Consider the following 12,355-nt stretch of genomic DNA (forward strand, 5'->3'; position numbering starts at 1 on the left):
CTTCCTGTCTGGCAGATTGCATTCCTCCCCTTACCTGTTTGCCTTCTGGAAGACTTGATTGTGGTGGCAAGAAGATAGGCCCCATCAGGGTGGGCCTCATTCCAGCTTTGCAGCAAACAAGCTCTGATTTGTTGGGGAGGCTGGGAGGGACCCCACTTCACTCTCTGCCCCCAGTGTCCACCTGCACTTGGGCAAGTCAGCCAGTTGGTTCTGTAGACAGAACACCCCCTTGCAGCACAGACTCCACCGGGCATTTGGCGGCGGTGTGGAATATGAAGAGAAGGCTTCCCCCAGTCTGTAGGTACAACTTGCTCTGTCCCTTTGCAGCACAAATGTGTTCCCAGTAATCTGTGCCTCTCTCCCCTCAACACGTTCAGCCTTTAATTGTAACTATTAATCACGCCGAGTTGTGTCGCACTTCATAACCCTTCCATTAAATATTAAGCTTGAAAAAAATTGAGCTGTCTTAATTGAATTATTGAATTACCAGGCACTTAATGTGGCTCTGGTGGATGAGAATCACGGAATTTCGGCTTTGGAAGGGATTTTAGTTTCCTTGTCTGTGACGTAGAGGGTGTGTGAGGCCCCGAGGAGCCAGGAGACTTGCTCAGGGTCGGTGGCCCAGAAGAAACTGGAGCTGGTGTCCCTCTTTCCGTGCCTTGTCCCACTGCCTCCTTATGGAGGAGGCTGTATTCCTGGGCTCATAGCCATTCTCAGGTTTCTGCGGTGTGCATTTCTCTAGTGGTTCCCAGCATTGGGGTTGGGTTTTTAGGTGGACGCAGTCACATGTGGGCATTTGAAGGGCTGCCCTCTCTGGAATCAGGCAGTCTGTCCTTGGGATGAGATGCTAGCTGGCCCTTTGGCTTCTTCCTTAGAGATGTTTATGCTCATGGCCTCGGCCACTCTCCCTCTTCCTCCAGGTTTCCGCCGGCAGCCCAGGCCTCTCCCTGTCTGACTCCCCCACTCCCTTTCTGCTGGGCATTTCCATTTGAATGTTCCAGGCTCATCTCACCTTCGCCCTCCTCACACTGACCTCACTGACTCCAGTCTGGTCTCCTGCCCTGAGTCCCTGTCTAGGAGAAGAATGGCGTTTCTGACAGCTCTTCCTGACTCACTCGTTGAGACCGATGCTTATCTGCTAAGCGATTCCTGTGTTCACTCCTTCTCTCTTCTGTCTGCTGTCCCCATCACAAGCAAGACTGAACCCCTTCTGCTTCCTGATGTGATTCCTTGTCACGGTCCCTCTTGCTCCAACCTGTGTTGCCCTTTGCTACCAGACGCGACTTCCTGAAATCCTGTTTTCAGCAGACGATCCTCTGTTCCCAACTTGCAGTGGCTCCCTACTTCCTGCCACAGTGAATCTACAGTCCTCTCAACTCAGTTCACGTCCGTGGGCCCTTCCAGAGTGACAGGCACCATGATCAGTGCTGCCACCTCCCTTTCGAGAAAGGATTTGAGACCTGTGTGGAACAACTCGGAAAGGGAGGCTCAGACACTGCAGGCGGCTTCTCTAAGGTGACACGCCAAGTTGTTGGGTGTACTGGGTTGAATGGTGTTCTCTCCCAAATTCGTGTTCACCTGGAACCTCAGAATGTGACCTTATTTGTAAATAGGGTCTTTGCAGATATAATTAGGTAACATGCTGTTGGGAGGAGGGTGCTAATGCAGTGACTGGTATCCTTATAAGAAGATCTGAAGTCGAACCCAGGACACACATGGGGAGAAGACCCCGTGAACATAGAGACAGGGATCAGAGTGATGCATCCACAAGCCATGGGACACCAAGGATTGCTAGGAGCCCCCAGAAGGCAGGAGCAAGGCATGGGACAGACTCTCCCCAGAGCTTTAGAAGGACAGCTTCTAGAACTGCGAGACGTAAATTCCTGGTGGTTTAAGCCACCTGGTTGCAGGACTTTGTTACAGCAGCCCTAGAAAACCAAGACAATAGGGAAGCTGTGTTTTGAAGCCACGAATTCTGAGTGCAGGAATGTTCTCACTGTACACAGCTGCCACCCATGCCTGGCCTCCCAGACTTCCCTAATGCGGACCCTCGCTTTGTTAATGGGTGATTGCCCGCTGTCTTCAGAGTTGATCAGCCCCAGAGATGCTCCCCTTCCTTAAGCGCCGCTCATGCGGATTGTGGTTGTACTGTTGCGTGTTCCTCTGGCCCCCTCCTTCTCTGTTCCTAACCAGTGTTTTTTGTATGATGTGAATATTTTAAATTTTAATTTAATTTTTGGTGGGGAAATACAATGTGATGTTTAAATTTTTAAAAATGTTATTTTTAATTGATGAATAGTAATGGTTTATATTTATGGGGTACAATGTGATGTTTGTTTCGATACATGTATACATTGTGGAGTGATTAAGGCACGTGAGTTAATACATCCATCACTTCACATACTTATCATTTCTTTGTAGTAAGAACATTTTAACGATTTATTTTTTTCTGGAGACGGAGTCTTGCTCTGTCGCCCAGGCTGGAGTGCAGTGGTGTGATCTTGGCTCACTGTAACCTCCGCCTCCTGGGTCCAAGCAATTCTTCTGCCTCAGCCTCACAAGTAGCTGGCACTACAGGCACCTGCCACCACACCCAGCTAATTTTTTGTATTTTGGTAGAGACAGGGTTTCACCGTGTTGCCTAGGCTGATCTCGAACTCCTGAACTCAGGCAATCTGCCCGCCTCGGCCTCCCAAAGTGCCAGGATTACAGGCATGAGCCACCGTACCTGGCCCATTTTAACAATTTTGAAATATACATTACCTTATGATTAACTATAGCCACTATGCTGTTCTGTAGATCACTGGAACTTACTACTCCTGTCTAACTGAAACTTTGTCCAGCATCTCCCTTTGACCAGCAAACCCTTTGACCAACATCTCCCTCCTTCCCCATGCACCCCCATCCTCTGGTAACCCCCATTCTATTAATACTCTCTGTTTCTATGAGTTAGACTTTTTAAGATTCCACATGTAAGTGAGATCATGTAATATTTGTCTTTCTGTACCTGCCTTATTTCACTTAGGATAATGTCCTCTAGGTTCATCCATGTTGTTTCAAAGGATGTAATTTCATTGTTTTAAGTCTGAGTAGTGCATATATATATATACACCACATTTTTTTTTTATCCATTTACCCATCGATGGGCACTTAATTTGTTTCCATGTCTTGGCTATTGTGAACAGTGCTGCAGTGAACATAAGGCCAGCCAATTTTGATTGAGTGTCTTCAACATGTCAGGTGCTGTGTTAGGCACTGGGGGATATAAGATGGACAAGACTCTCACTTTCATGAAACATACATTTCAGTGGAGGGTTGAGGGGAAAACACTCAGATGGCAAGCAAATAACAAACATAGCAGAGAGTTCTCTTTGCTATGAAGAAAATTTCCACTAATGTAAGAGAGACTGCTTGGGGCTACTTTCTTTTTTATTATTTTATTATTTTTGTTTTTTGTTGATCTTCCCTTGAGTTGCAACTTGGGGCTACTTTTGATGGGGGTGGTAAGGCAAGTCTCTCTCAGAAGCTGGTTTTGAAGCTAAGCCCTGAATGAAGGAAGAGGCCAGCTGTGTGCAGATATGGGAGGTAGTCATTCCCGAGAGGGAGCAGGCAGTGCAAAGGCCCTGTGACGGGACAGAATTTGGTAGTTCAAGACTCAGAAGGAAGACAGGTGTGATGGCACCTGGTGTGTTGGGGAAGAGGCAGATGGGCCACGCAGAGCCTTGTGAACCAGGGGAAGAAGTTTGAATTTTCTTCCAAGTGCCGTGGAAAGCCTTTGGAAGGTTTTAAGCAGACAAGTGACAAGATCAGTGTTTTTAAAGGTCACTCAGATTTTTCTGTAGAGACTGGATAGTGGGGAGCTAGGAGCACCAAAGGTGATCTGGCTTTAATGCCCAGCTCAATTCTTCTGTCGTACACCTCTAATCCACTGTCTTCCTCCCCTGAGCTACTCGTGCACTTAAAGTCAATACAGCATGCTCACCACTTAATTAGAAAATCGTTTCTGCACACTAAAGAGACCTCCCCAGCCAGGGAGGGCCTCAGGGCTATGCTGTCTCACGTAAGTCTCCTTTGGAATGCCCCTCGGTCCTTGGGGATGGATTCATTGCCCTTCCAATGGGACTGAGTGATGGATTCATGTTTTATGTGAAATTGTCGGAGGGGTAGGGGGTAAGCCCATCCCTCCTAGAAAAAATTTTATCCATCCAGGAACTGCCACACTCTTAATAGGAGACTTGGGGGATTTGCTCTACTATACACATGGGAAACTGAAGCTCTGAGAGGTTGTGGGGCCTTGAATAAGGGTCAGAGCCCAGGTCTGCTGGACCACAAAACCCAAAACTTCCATGCTGGAGGTGGAGGGTTAGCTCTTGGAATGAATGCATGCCTGAAAAATCTATAACTGAGTGATGAAGCAATTAAAAGCAGAAGGTTCCTAATGGATTGTGGAAGCGGGTATCACTGTATAGTGTAGTGGTTCCGAGCTTTGGAATGAGATGAACCTGGGGATGAATACAGGCGTGGCCGTGGGCAAGCGACTTGACCTCACTGAGTCTCTCAATATGTTGATCTGTAAGATGGGAAGAATAAGAAAGTAACTACCTCACATGGGGGCAGTGAGGGTTAAATGAGAAAATTCACAAAAGGGGCTTAGTAGAGCCTGTGGCACAGAATATGCACTCAGTAAATATCTTCTATTGAAAATAGACTGGGACTGGGAACAGATTATGGAAGGAGGAATGTGTGTTCACAAATGTGTGGGAAAACCTTTTGTACTTGTGTTCTGGCTATTGGGTTCTCCAAAAAGTATGGACTAAAGAAAACTGATGCTCTGCTGGGTGGATGTGGGGAGAGAGATCCAGCGTGGGCCTTGCTTTGCTAAGCTGAGTGTTAGAAGGCATGGGAAATGAAAGTTGAGAGGTTCAAGAGCCTGGGGCAGAGGAGCCCCTGGGTCTGGGCAGCCCATGCTCGCCGAGGAGGCAGGGGGGTGAGAGCAGGCAGAATTGGAGACTTGGGTGGAAGTGAAAGATGCCGCTTGCTGTGGGCATTCCAATGAAACCACTCCCTTGAATATGACAGCGGTTAATCATTAATATCATAAAAGTTTTAGAATTGGAGGGACTGAGGAGAGCATCTAGTTCTGCCCAAGGTCAGACAGGGTTATTCTGCAAGCAGAGATGAGTACTGACAGTACTCTGGTTTTAGAGAAAACATTTTCCCCACCCTTCCTGTCCCTTCTCCTGGGTTGACTCCAGCAACTCACCTCTCCCAGCTGAGAAGTACTTGACATTGGATTCAAGGACATCAGAGACACTTACAGCCTGGAGCCTGGTGTGTGCATTGTTGATGAATCCCCAAGGTTGAGCCGAGACTTGGATGGTAGGTCAAGTGTCTGTTGAATATCAGCAGAAATATTTTCCATCTTCCTGATGAGGAGGGAATTTCAGGAAGAACATTTTTGGTGTCTCATTTCTTGGGATTGCCTTTATCAATCGTGATGCATATTTTTGGGCAGTAACCTTACTTTTGGATTTATTTTATTCCCCATCCTAACTCATTTCTTCGTCTATTTTTATCGTGTTGTAGCTATTTTTGTAAGACACCTCCAATCCCTTTGGAACAAAATGAAGTGGAAATAAAGAAATGAAGTCTCTTGGCTTTTGCTCCCAGATCATCAGAAAGATGACTCAATGAGCCAGAGCTCTTTGATGCCAATAATGAACTTGGGTCAGGTCAGAACTCGAATTCCAATTGAAGGAGGGACTTGACAGTGGGACTGTCATTCCTGGGGATGATGGTTGGCAATAGGATGGATTGGGGGTTGAATTATTGGGGACATGCCTGGAGGGACTGGGGAGAGGAGGGAAAGAATGTTTTCAGCGGGTTGCCAGGTAGAATTCCAATGTTCACTGCAATGAACTTTTCTTCAAACTTTTGTCCTTGGCTCTCTTTTCTTCCGTATGGGACAGGGATGCATTTTTGGTGGCTTGTTAACAAGACAAAAATAAGGAGAGGGATGAGAAAAGGTAAACAGAGAACCCTACAAGTTCATGTATTCTATGCCCTGCATTCTGTGTGGACCAAACAATTCCCAAAGAGGCCTAACCCAAAATAAGTTAGTATCCTGCTTCTAGTAGCCTGTGATAAAGTGCATCTTTTTTCTACTTAACTTAATCAATAAATATGAAGTGCTTAATACCATGGAGAAGAAGGCAACAATGGTCTCACCTTCATGGGGCCTAATGTGGTGTGACTGACCAACATTAGAGACGCACGCAGAAAGCCGTGCACATGCACCCGTGTAATTACAAAGTGCCACAGGTGCTGTGAAAAGAAAGCACAGTGTGTCCTACAAGAGAGAAGGGGACCTTATTTGGATTGGGTGGTTATGGAGGGCCCCTTCTGAACATGTTTGGCCTTCTTTGCAGCAGCCTCCACCTCCCAGCGCCTGGGAGACAGTGCACCAGTAGAGGTGGGGTGGGGCAGGTGGTTTAGCCCGAGCTGGGGTGCCTGGCTGGGGACGTGCCCAGAGGAGTAGGGTGTGCGGAAGGCAGGATGGGGTCCCCACAGCAAGCTTTCCTCTCCCTGACTGGGCCACCTGTTGCAAACAGTCAGGCCCCGAGGAATAGCCTCCCCCCAGGGGGAGTTCAGTAACGGGTACCATTTCTCAGAAGGGGCTGGCCGCAGAGATAAGACCACAGTGCCAAGGGGGCCATAAATTGTTACCTGTGCCCTTCAGTTACCCCTTCTTCCTCCATCCCCTCCTTCCTGAGCCAGTGGGGTTAGATTTAGCAGCAGGGCTTCTGTTCATGAGATGGAGCAGAAAGCAGACTTTCTGGAGGCTGGGCATGATCACTGAGATGCAGAGCACTGATAGGGAAAATCAATTTAATTTCTGTGGCTCCGTGACAAGGAGGGGTGGCAAGCAGGAAGGTCAGGCCTGTTTTGAAAGCCACAGTTCAGTTAAGAAAATAAAACACTCCCTCTAAGGAATTTTTAAAAATACAGTATTTTAGGAGGGGGAAAATGGAAGTGGGTCAAGATGAGGGATTTAGTCGGAGGAGCAGAGCAGACCCATGGCAATCCCAGTCTGACCGGAGCCTAGGGCCTGAGGGTTGCAGGTCTCCCATAGGAATTTTTTTTTTTTTTGAGACTGCGTTTGTTTCATTCTTGTTGCCCAGGCTGGAGTGCAATGGCGCAGGTTGCTCACTGCAACCCCCGCCTCCTGGATTCAAGCAATTGTCCTGCCTCAGCCTCCCAAGTAGCTAGGATTACAGGCACCTGCCACCACGCCCGGCTATTTGTTTTGCATTTTTAGTAGAAATGGAGTTTCACCATGTTGGCCAGGCTGGTCTCAAACTCCTGACCTCAGGTGATCCGCAGAGGCATAAGCCACCATGCCCGGCCTAGGAATTTTGTTGTATGTCTGTTGAGTTGAGTTGCTCAGGACTTGTTGCAGTAGGGGACACTTTCATTAGGTTTCTGTTTCCCGAGGCATGATTTAAGGCACATTTCTCCGTCCCTCTGGTTGATGCTGGGGAAGGCTTGGCTTCTGGCAGTTTTTGATTGCTCAGATCAAGCCTATGTGATTCATGGGATTTTACAGGTTGGAGGCTGAGAGGTATTTGTAGGTCTGGATGAGGATTTGCACTCAACCTGGTTGTGGCATGTCGTAGTCAAACTATGGCCTCACCTGATTTAGAGGACGAGGAGGACTCTGCAGAAAGCACTTCCTTGGCTGTTGGTAGAGATTAGATATTTGCGGGCAGAGAGTTGGGTCAACCCAAGCCTTCATCAACATCCCACAGGGACCTCCCTTGAGGTGACTTTCATTCATTAGATGGAGGATGGCATTGCAGGTCCTGTGCCAGGCACTGGGGAGATAGGCTTTGTCTTTTTTTTTTTTTTTTTGGTGGCATCTCTCGCTCTGTCGCTCAGGCTGGAGTGCAGTGGCACGATCTTGGCTCACTGCAACCTCTGCCTCCCGGGTTCAAGTGATTCTCCTGCCTCAGCCTCCTGAGTAGCTGGGATTACAGGCGTGCGCCACCTTGCCCAACTAATTTTTTGTATTTTTAGTAGAGAAGGAGCTCACAGCATAGTAGAAGGCTCAGACTTTGGACTATTTCCTAAGAATCTGATAAGTGAATACATTTCCAGGATTCTTAGCGGATGGCCCGAAGTCTTGGGATAGTGTGTGAGGGCCAGAGGGGAAAATTGAAACAATGAAGAGAATTGAGAAATTCCTCATTGGAAACTTCTGTCTGTGATGCTTGGGGTGGGATAAGAGGGGGGGTCTGTTCTAGCTAAGATTCAATACCAATGGTTATCTCTTTGATTATAGCTTAGGGTGAGGCTGAGTGATCTATCTCCACTGTTTGGTCTCCCCAGAGTTAGCTGTTTATTTCAAACCACCAGTCACTTGTGGTGTTTTGACCTAGAAGCCATGCAAGGCAGTTTGAACTGTGCTTGAAAGGGTGGGGAGGCAGGGCTTGTTCTGAACTGTGAGCTGAGGAGGCAGCGATGGGTGCCCTGTGCTCTAATAGAGGTCTGAGAAGTGAACTGGGTGGCCAGCTGGGTCTGCCTGCTGAGAGCTTGCTGGGGCACAGGAAGCCGTGCCCCTCATTCCCTTTGAAATAGCTTTGTGTTTGTCATTCTTGTGACTTGGATACCCTTTTGGACCCCGTATCTGTGGGCTTAGCATCAGTCAGATGCTGTTTATCAGACAGTCTTACCTGGGGTTTGTTATCCGTGTGTGTGTGTGTGTGTGTGTGTGTGTGTGTGTGTGTGTGTGTGTGTGTGTGTAGCGTGGCTGGGTCAGACTGGATTCCTTGTTGAGCATCTAGCTAAAAGAGGTTAAGAGGAGGCTCATATACTGCTGAAGGCCAGAGGGCTTTGCTGAACGCTGGTCATCTTAAAAACGAGCTGGGCTATTTATAATTTGGCAGGCTGCCATGGGACTTGAATGAATGGCAGTCTGTGCAGGCTCACATACTCTGTGTACTGAGTCTGAGCGTGGGTTTGTTCATTTATGTGCCCCTGTGCATGGGTGTGGATGTGATTTCCTGGCGTGCAGGGTAAGGACTGAGGAGGTGGGGAAGCAGGTTTTGCCCTGGTCCTCTGGTCCGCCAAGAGGCCACAGGTACCCTTATTTATGCCTGGGATGTTGGTGTTTCTGGTATTTTAAGCCACAGAAACGTTTGAGGGAGTAGACCTGGACTATCTCTTTTTACTCCTGAGGAAACTAGGCCAGAGGGGTTCCCTTGGGCTCAGAGGAGGCCTCGGGTCAGGGGCCATCCCGGGTGGGAGCTGTAGCTCTGGCCAGCTTGCTCCTGTCAACACTGCCCCCTGCCGCTCTCCCAGGGCTGCAGGGACCTGGTCGTGCTGGAGACGGATGTTTTCAGGCAGCGCTTTGTAGGAGGCAGTGACGCTGGTAACCCACTAATGTGAGGATGAAGTCTTTGTATTCTGTTTCCATTGACGGGGACGGGTTTGCAGAACCACCCACACCCTTGCCTGGGCCTGGTGACTCATGAGGACAAGATGGCTGACCAAGGAGAGGGAGAGGTTCCACTCCCTCCAAGGCCCAGGGCTGACTCTTTTTCATGCATTTGGTGCTAAATTGCTGCCCTGAGGCTCTTGAATAGCTTGTATGAACTCTGGTCCACCCCTCTTGCCTCTCCTAAATCCCTTGGGAGGTGTCCCCATGCCCTACACACTGCCTGCTCTGTCACCTCACCACCCTGCAACCAGCTGGGCTGGCTGGTTTTCACTGCTGGGAGGTAGATTTTTTTTCAAGAAGTATGAAAGTATCATTGGCATATAGACAGACCTCTGCACTCAGCTGGAACTGGGTTTTGAATCGCAGCTTCAGGACTCAATAATGTTGTAAATCTCTGAACTTCTTGGAGACTTTGTTTTAGGAAGACAGGACCCTATAAGACAAAGTCCCTCTGTGAGGTCCAGCACAGAAGGCATCTCTCACCAGGGTCCCTTTCTTTTCCCTTTTCTCTCAGCCTGATTCTGTGCTTTCTTTCTTCCTTTTCGTTGTTATTTAAACTTATGCATGTAATTTCAGCCTCATAAGGGACATTATGTAGATTAATTGCCATATGGGAAGTACTTAAAGCATGTTGCCTGGCACACAGTAGGTGTGTAGCAATAGTAGTCATTGTTTTAGGCAAAGATGATGCCTGCAGGGGTTTCTTTCATTATTATTTCACTATTTATTTCATAATTGTAGCTTCATGGGGAGGACAGAAGGGTGAAGGGATCTCAGGGAGGCATTCTTCCCTTCACCCTGGAGACCTCCCTTGCTTGGCTGTACATTTAAACTGGCCTCCGCGTGGGTTCATGGTCCTGTACATCAACACAGCTGATTTTTTTTTTTTTTGAGACAGAGTCTTGCTCTGTCTCCAGGCTGGAGTGCAGTGGTGCGATCTCGGCTCACTGGGTCCTCCACCTCCCGGGTTCAAGCGATTCTCCTGCCTCAGCCTCCCAAGTAGCTGGGACTACAGGCGCGTGCCACCACGCCCGGCTAATTTTTGTATTTTTAGTTGAGACGGGGTTTCACCGTGTTGGCCAGGATGGTCTCTATCTCTTGACCTTGTGATCTGCCCGCCTCAGCCTCCCAAAGTGCTGGGATTACAGGCGTGAGCCACTGCGCCTGGCCAACACAGCTGATTTTTATAAACCTTCTAGAGACATTTGCCTTCTTGGTTTTTAAGCATAAACAACCTCACTTTTGTAAAGGGGAGTTGCTGTAAGATTCAGAACTTGGAGAGGTTTTTGTGTGGGCGTTTATTTTTCTTAAACAGCACGAGGTTTGTGGGATTCTATAGGGTTTTGTACAGCCTGACCAGCAGTTAGCCATCTCCCCTCCCCTTCTCCCGGAAGAAATGGGTGTTTTGTTCTCCACTGGCCTCTCCTCGTGTGTTTCTTCTTCTGGGAAAAAACCCACAACCCCAGGTTCTGTTGCCCAAGATGAGACTGGATGAAAATCAAGAGGGGTTGCTGACGAGACCCTGGAATGCCCAGAGAACAGAGGGGTGGGAGCGAGGGAGGCGGTGCTGGCCTGGGGCCATCTTACTCTTCCTTTCTTCCTGACAGGTGTGTAGAATGGCATCTCCTGCCGGCACGCTGGGGGCCTGGGATACCTCTGGCAGACAGTGCTGGAAATTTAATGCTCCTTGAAACAGGAGAGCCTGAGAATGCTTACAAAAATCATCCTTATTAAAGTTTGAAGGGATGAAGAAAAGCGCTAATGGGAGAGACCCTATACTTACAAACCCACCTTGAAGGGGTTAGGGGTTACTTCCCACCTGCCAGCACCTTCCCTGCTCTGAGGAAACAGGAAACCTGATGGCTGGGGGCTTCAGGGCTCTGGGGACAGCTACCGTTTGCGGCCTGTCTGCCTGGCTGATGTCTGTGCCTGTCTGCAGCTGAAGGCCCACTTAGGACAACAAAATCCAGCCAAGCCGGCTGGCTGGGGCTGAGTGGGGCCTTTTGGCTTCAGGTGACTTTGTGGCTTCGGCCTTGGGTAAAGGGAGTGGGGGGCCATGTGTGGAGCCCTCTGGAAGGTCTGGACTCCTGCTTTTCCTTGGCTCTTCTCGTTCTCCAACCACCCCCAAGGTTCAGCAGAGTCTTGGGCGCGTCTCCTCCGTTTGTGCCGCGTGTTTGTGGCAGCAGCTGTTGGTGCTGACTAATAGGACTTCCTGGCAGCTGTGCCGGGCACACGTGGCACCGGCAGGAACTGCCTCTCCTCGGCTGCCCAATCTGTACCCCAACCACCAAAGAAAGGCCTGGAAAAGGGGCTGAGAGAGGCTGCTTGAGTGGGAAAGCCCTAGAACTTGGTGACTCACAGATCCATAGAACACGGTTGGAAGAACCAACTCCCATCTGCAGAGGGGAGCACTGGGTGCCTAGGAGGGGTCTCTCAGGTCGAAGAGCAAGTTAGGGGCTGAGCTGACACGTAAAACCCCATCTCCTCCCTGCCCCCTGAATGTGTTTGCTCTGCCCGTGTGAGACAGGCTTGTCAGGGGGTCAGCCTGAACCGTGTCACTCACTAGCTGTGTCCTTGGGCAAAGCTTTTCACCTCTCTGTACCTCAGTTCCTCCAGAGACAAAAGGGGATCATCATTGTCCCTACCTTAGGGGCTTTTGAGGACAGGGTGAGCACCCAGGGCAACGTGCCTGGGACAGTAAACCTCAGCAGATGCCACTTTGCTTTCTTCCTTACCAAAAACTGGGCAGATGCCTCTCTCCTCCTGAGTCCAGTGGTGTCTGTGTCAGATGCCCTAACGGATTCTCAGGAATTGCAGCTGACATCCGGTCATCATCTTTGGTTTGGGGTGGATGGG

At 49.1% G+C, this 12,355-nt stretch overlaps 1 protein-coding gene across 10 annotated transcripts in view, besides 2 other annotated features; it reads left to right on the plus strand.

The window, feature by feature from the left end:
* MSI2 (musashi RNA binding protein 2) overlaps nucleotides 1-12,355 on the plus strand; it is a 445,731-nt gene that overhangs the window by 175,815 nt on the left and 257,561 nt on the right. The gene's annotated exons all lie outside the window — the stretch shown is intronic.
* Nucleotides 9,064-9,123: a silencer, noted in NCBI's record as "silent region_8748". NCBI's record gives its function as "represses an Ori minimal core promoter by ATAC-STARR-seq in GM12878 lymphoblastoid cells {active_cell/tissue: GM12878}" and the evidence as "EXISTENCE:reporter gene assay evidence [ECO:0000049][PMID:35858748]".
* Nucleotides 9,534-9,593: an enhancer, noted in NCBI's record as "active region_12432". NCBI's record gives its function as "activates an Ori minimal core promoter by ATAC-STARR-seq in GM12878 lymphoblastoid cells {active_cell/tissue: GM12878}" and the evidence as "EXISTENCE:reporter gene assay evidence [ECO:0000049][PMID:35858748]".

The sequence above is a fragment of the Homo sapiens genome, chromosome 17, assembly GCF_000001405.40.
Source record: "Homo sapiens chromosome 17, GRCh38.p14 Primary Assembly".
NCBI classification, from domain to species: Eukaryota; Metazoa; Chordata; class Mammalia; order Primates; family Hominidae; genus Homo; species Homo sapiens.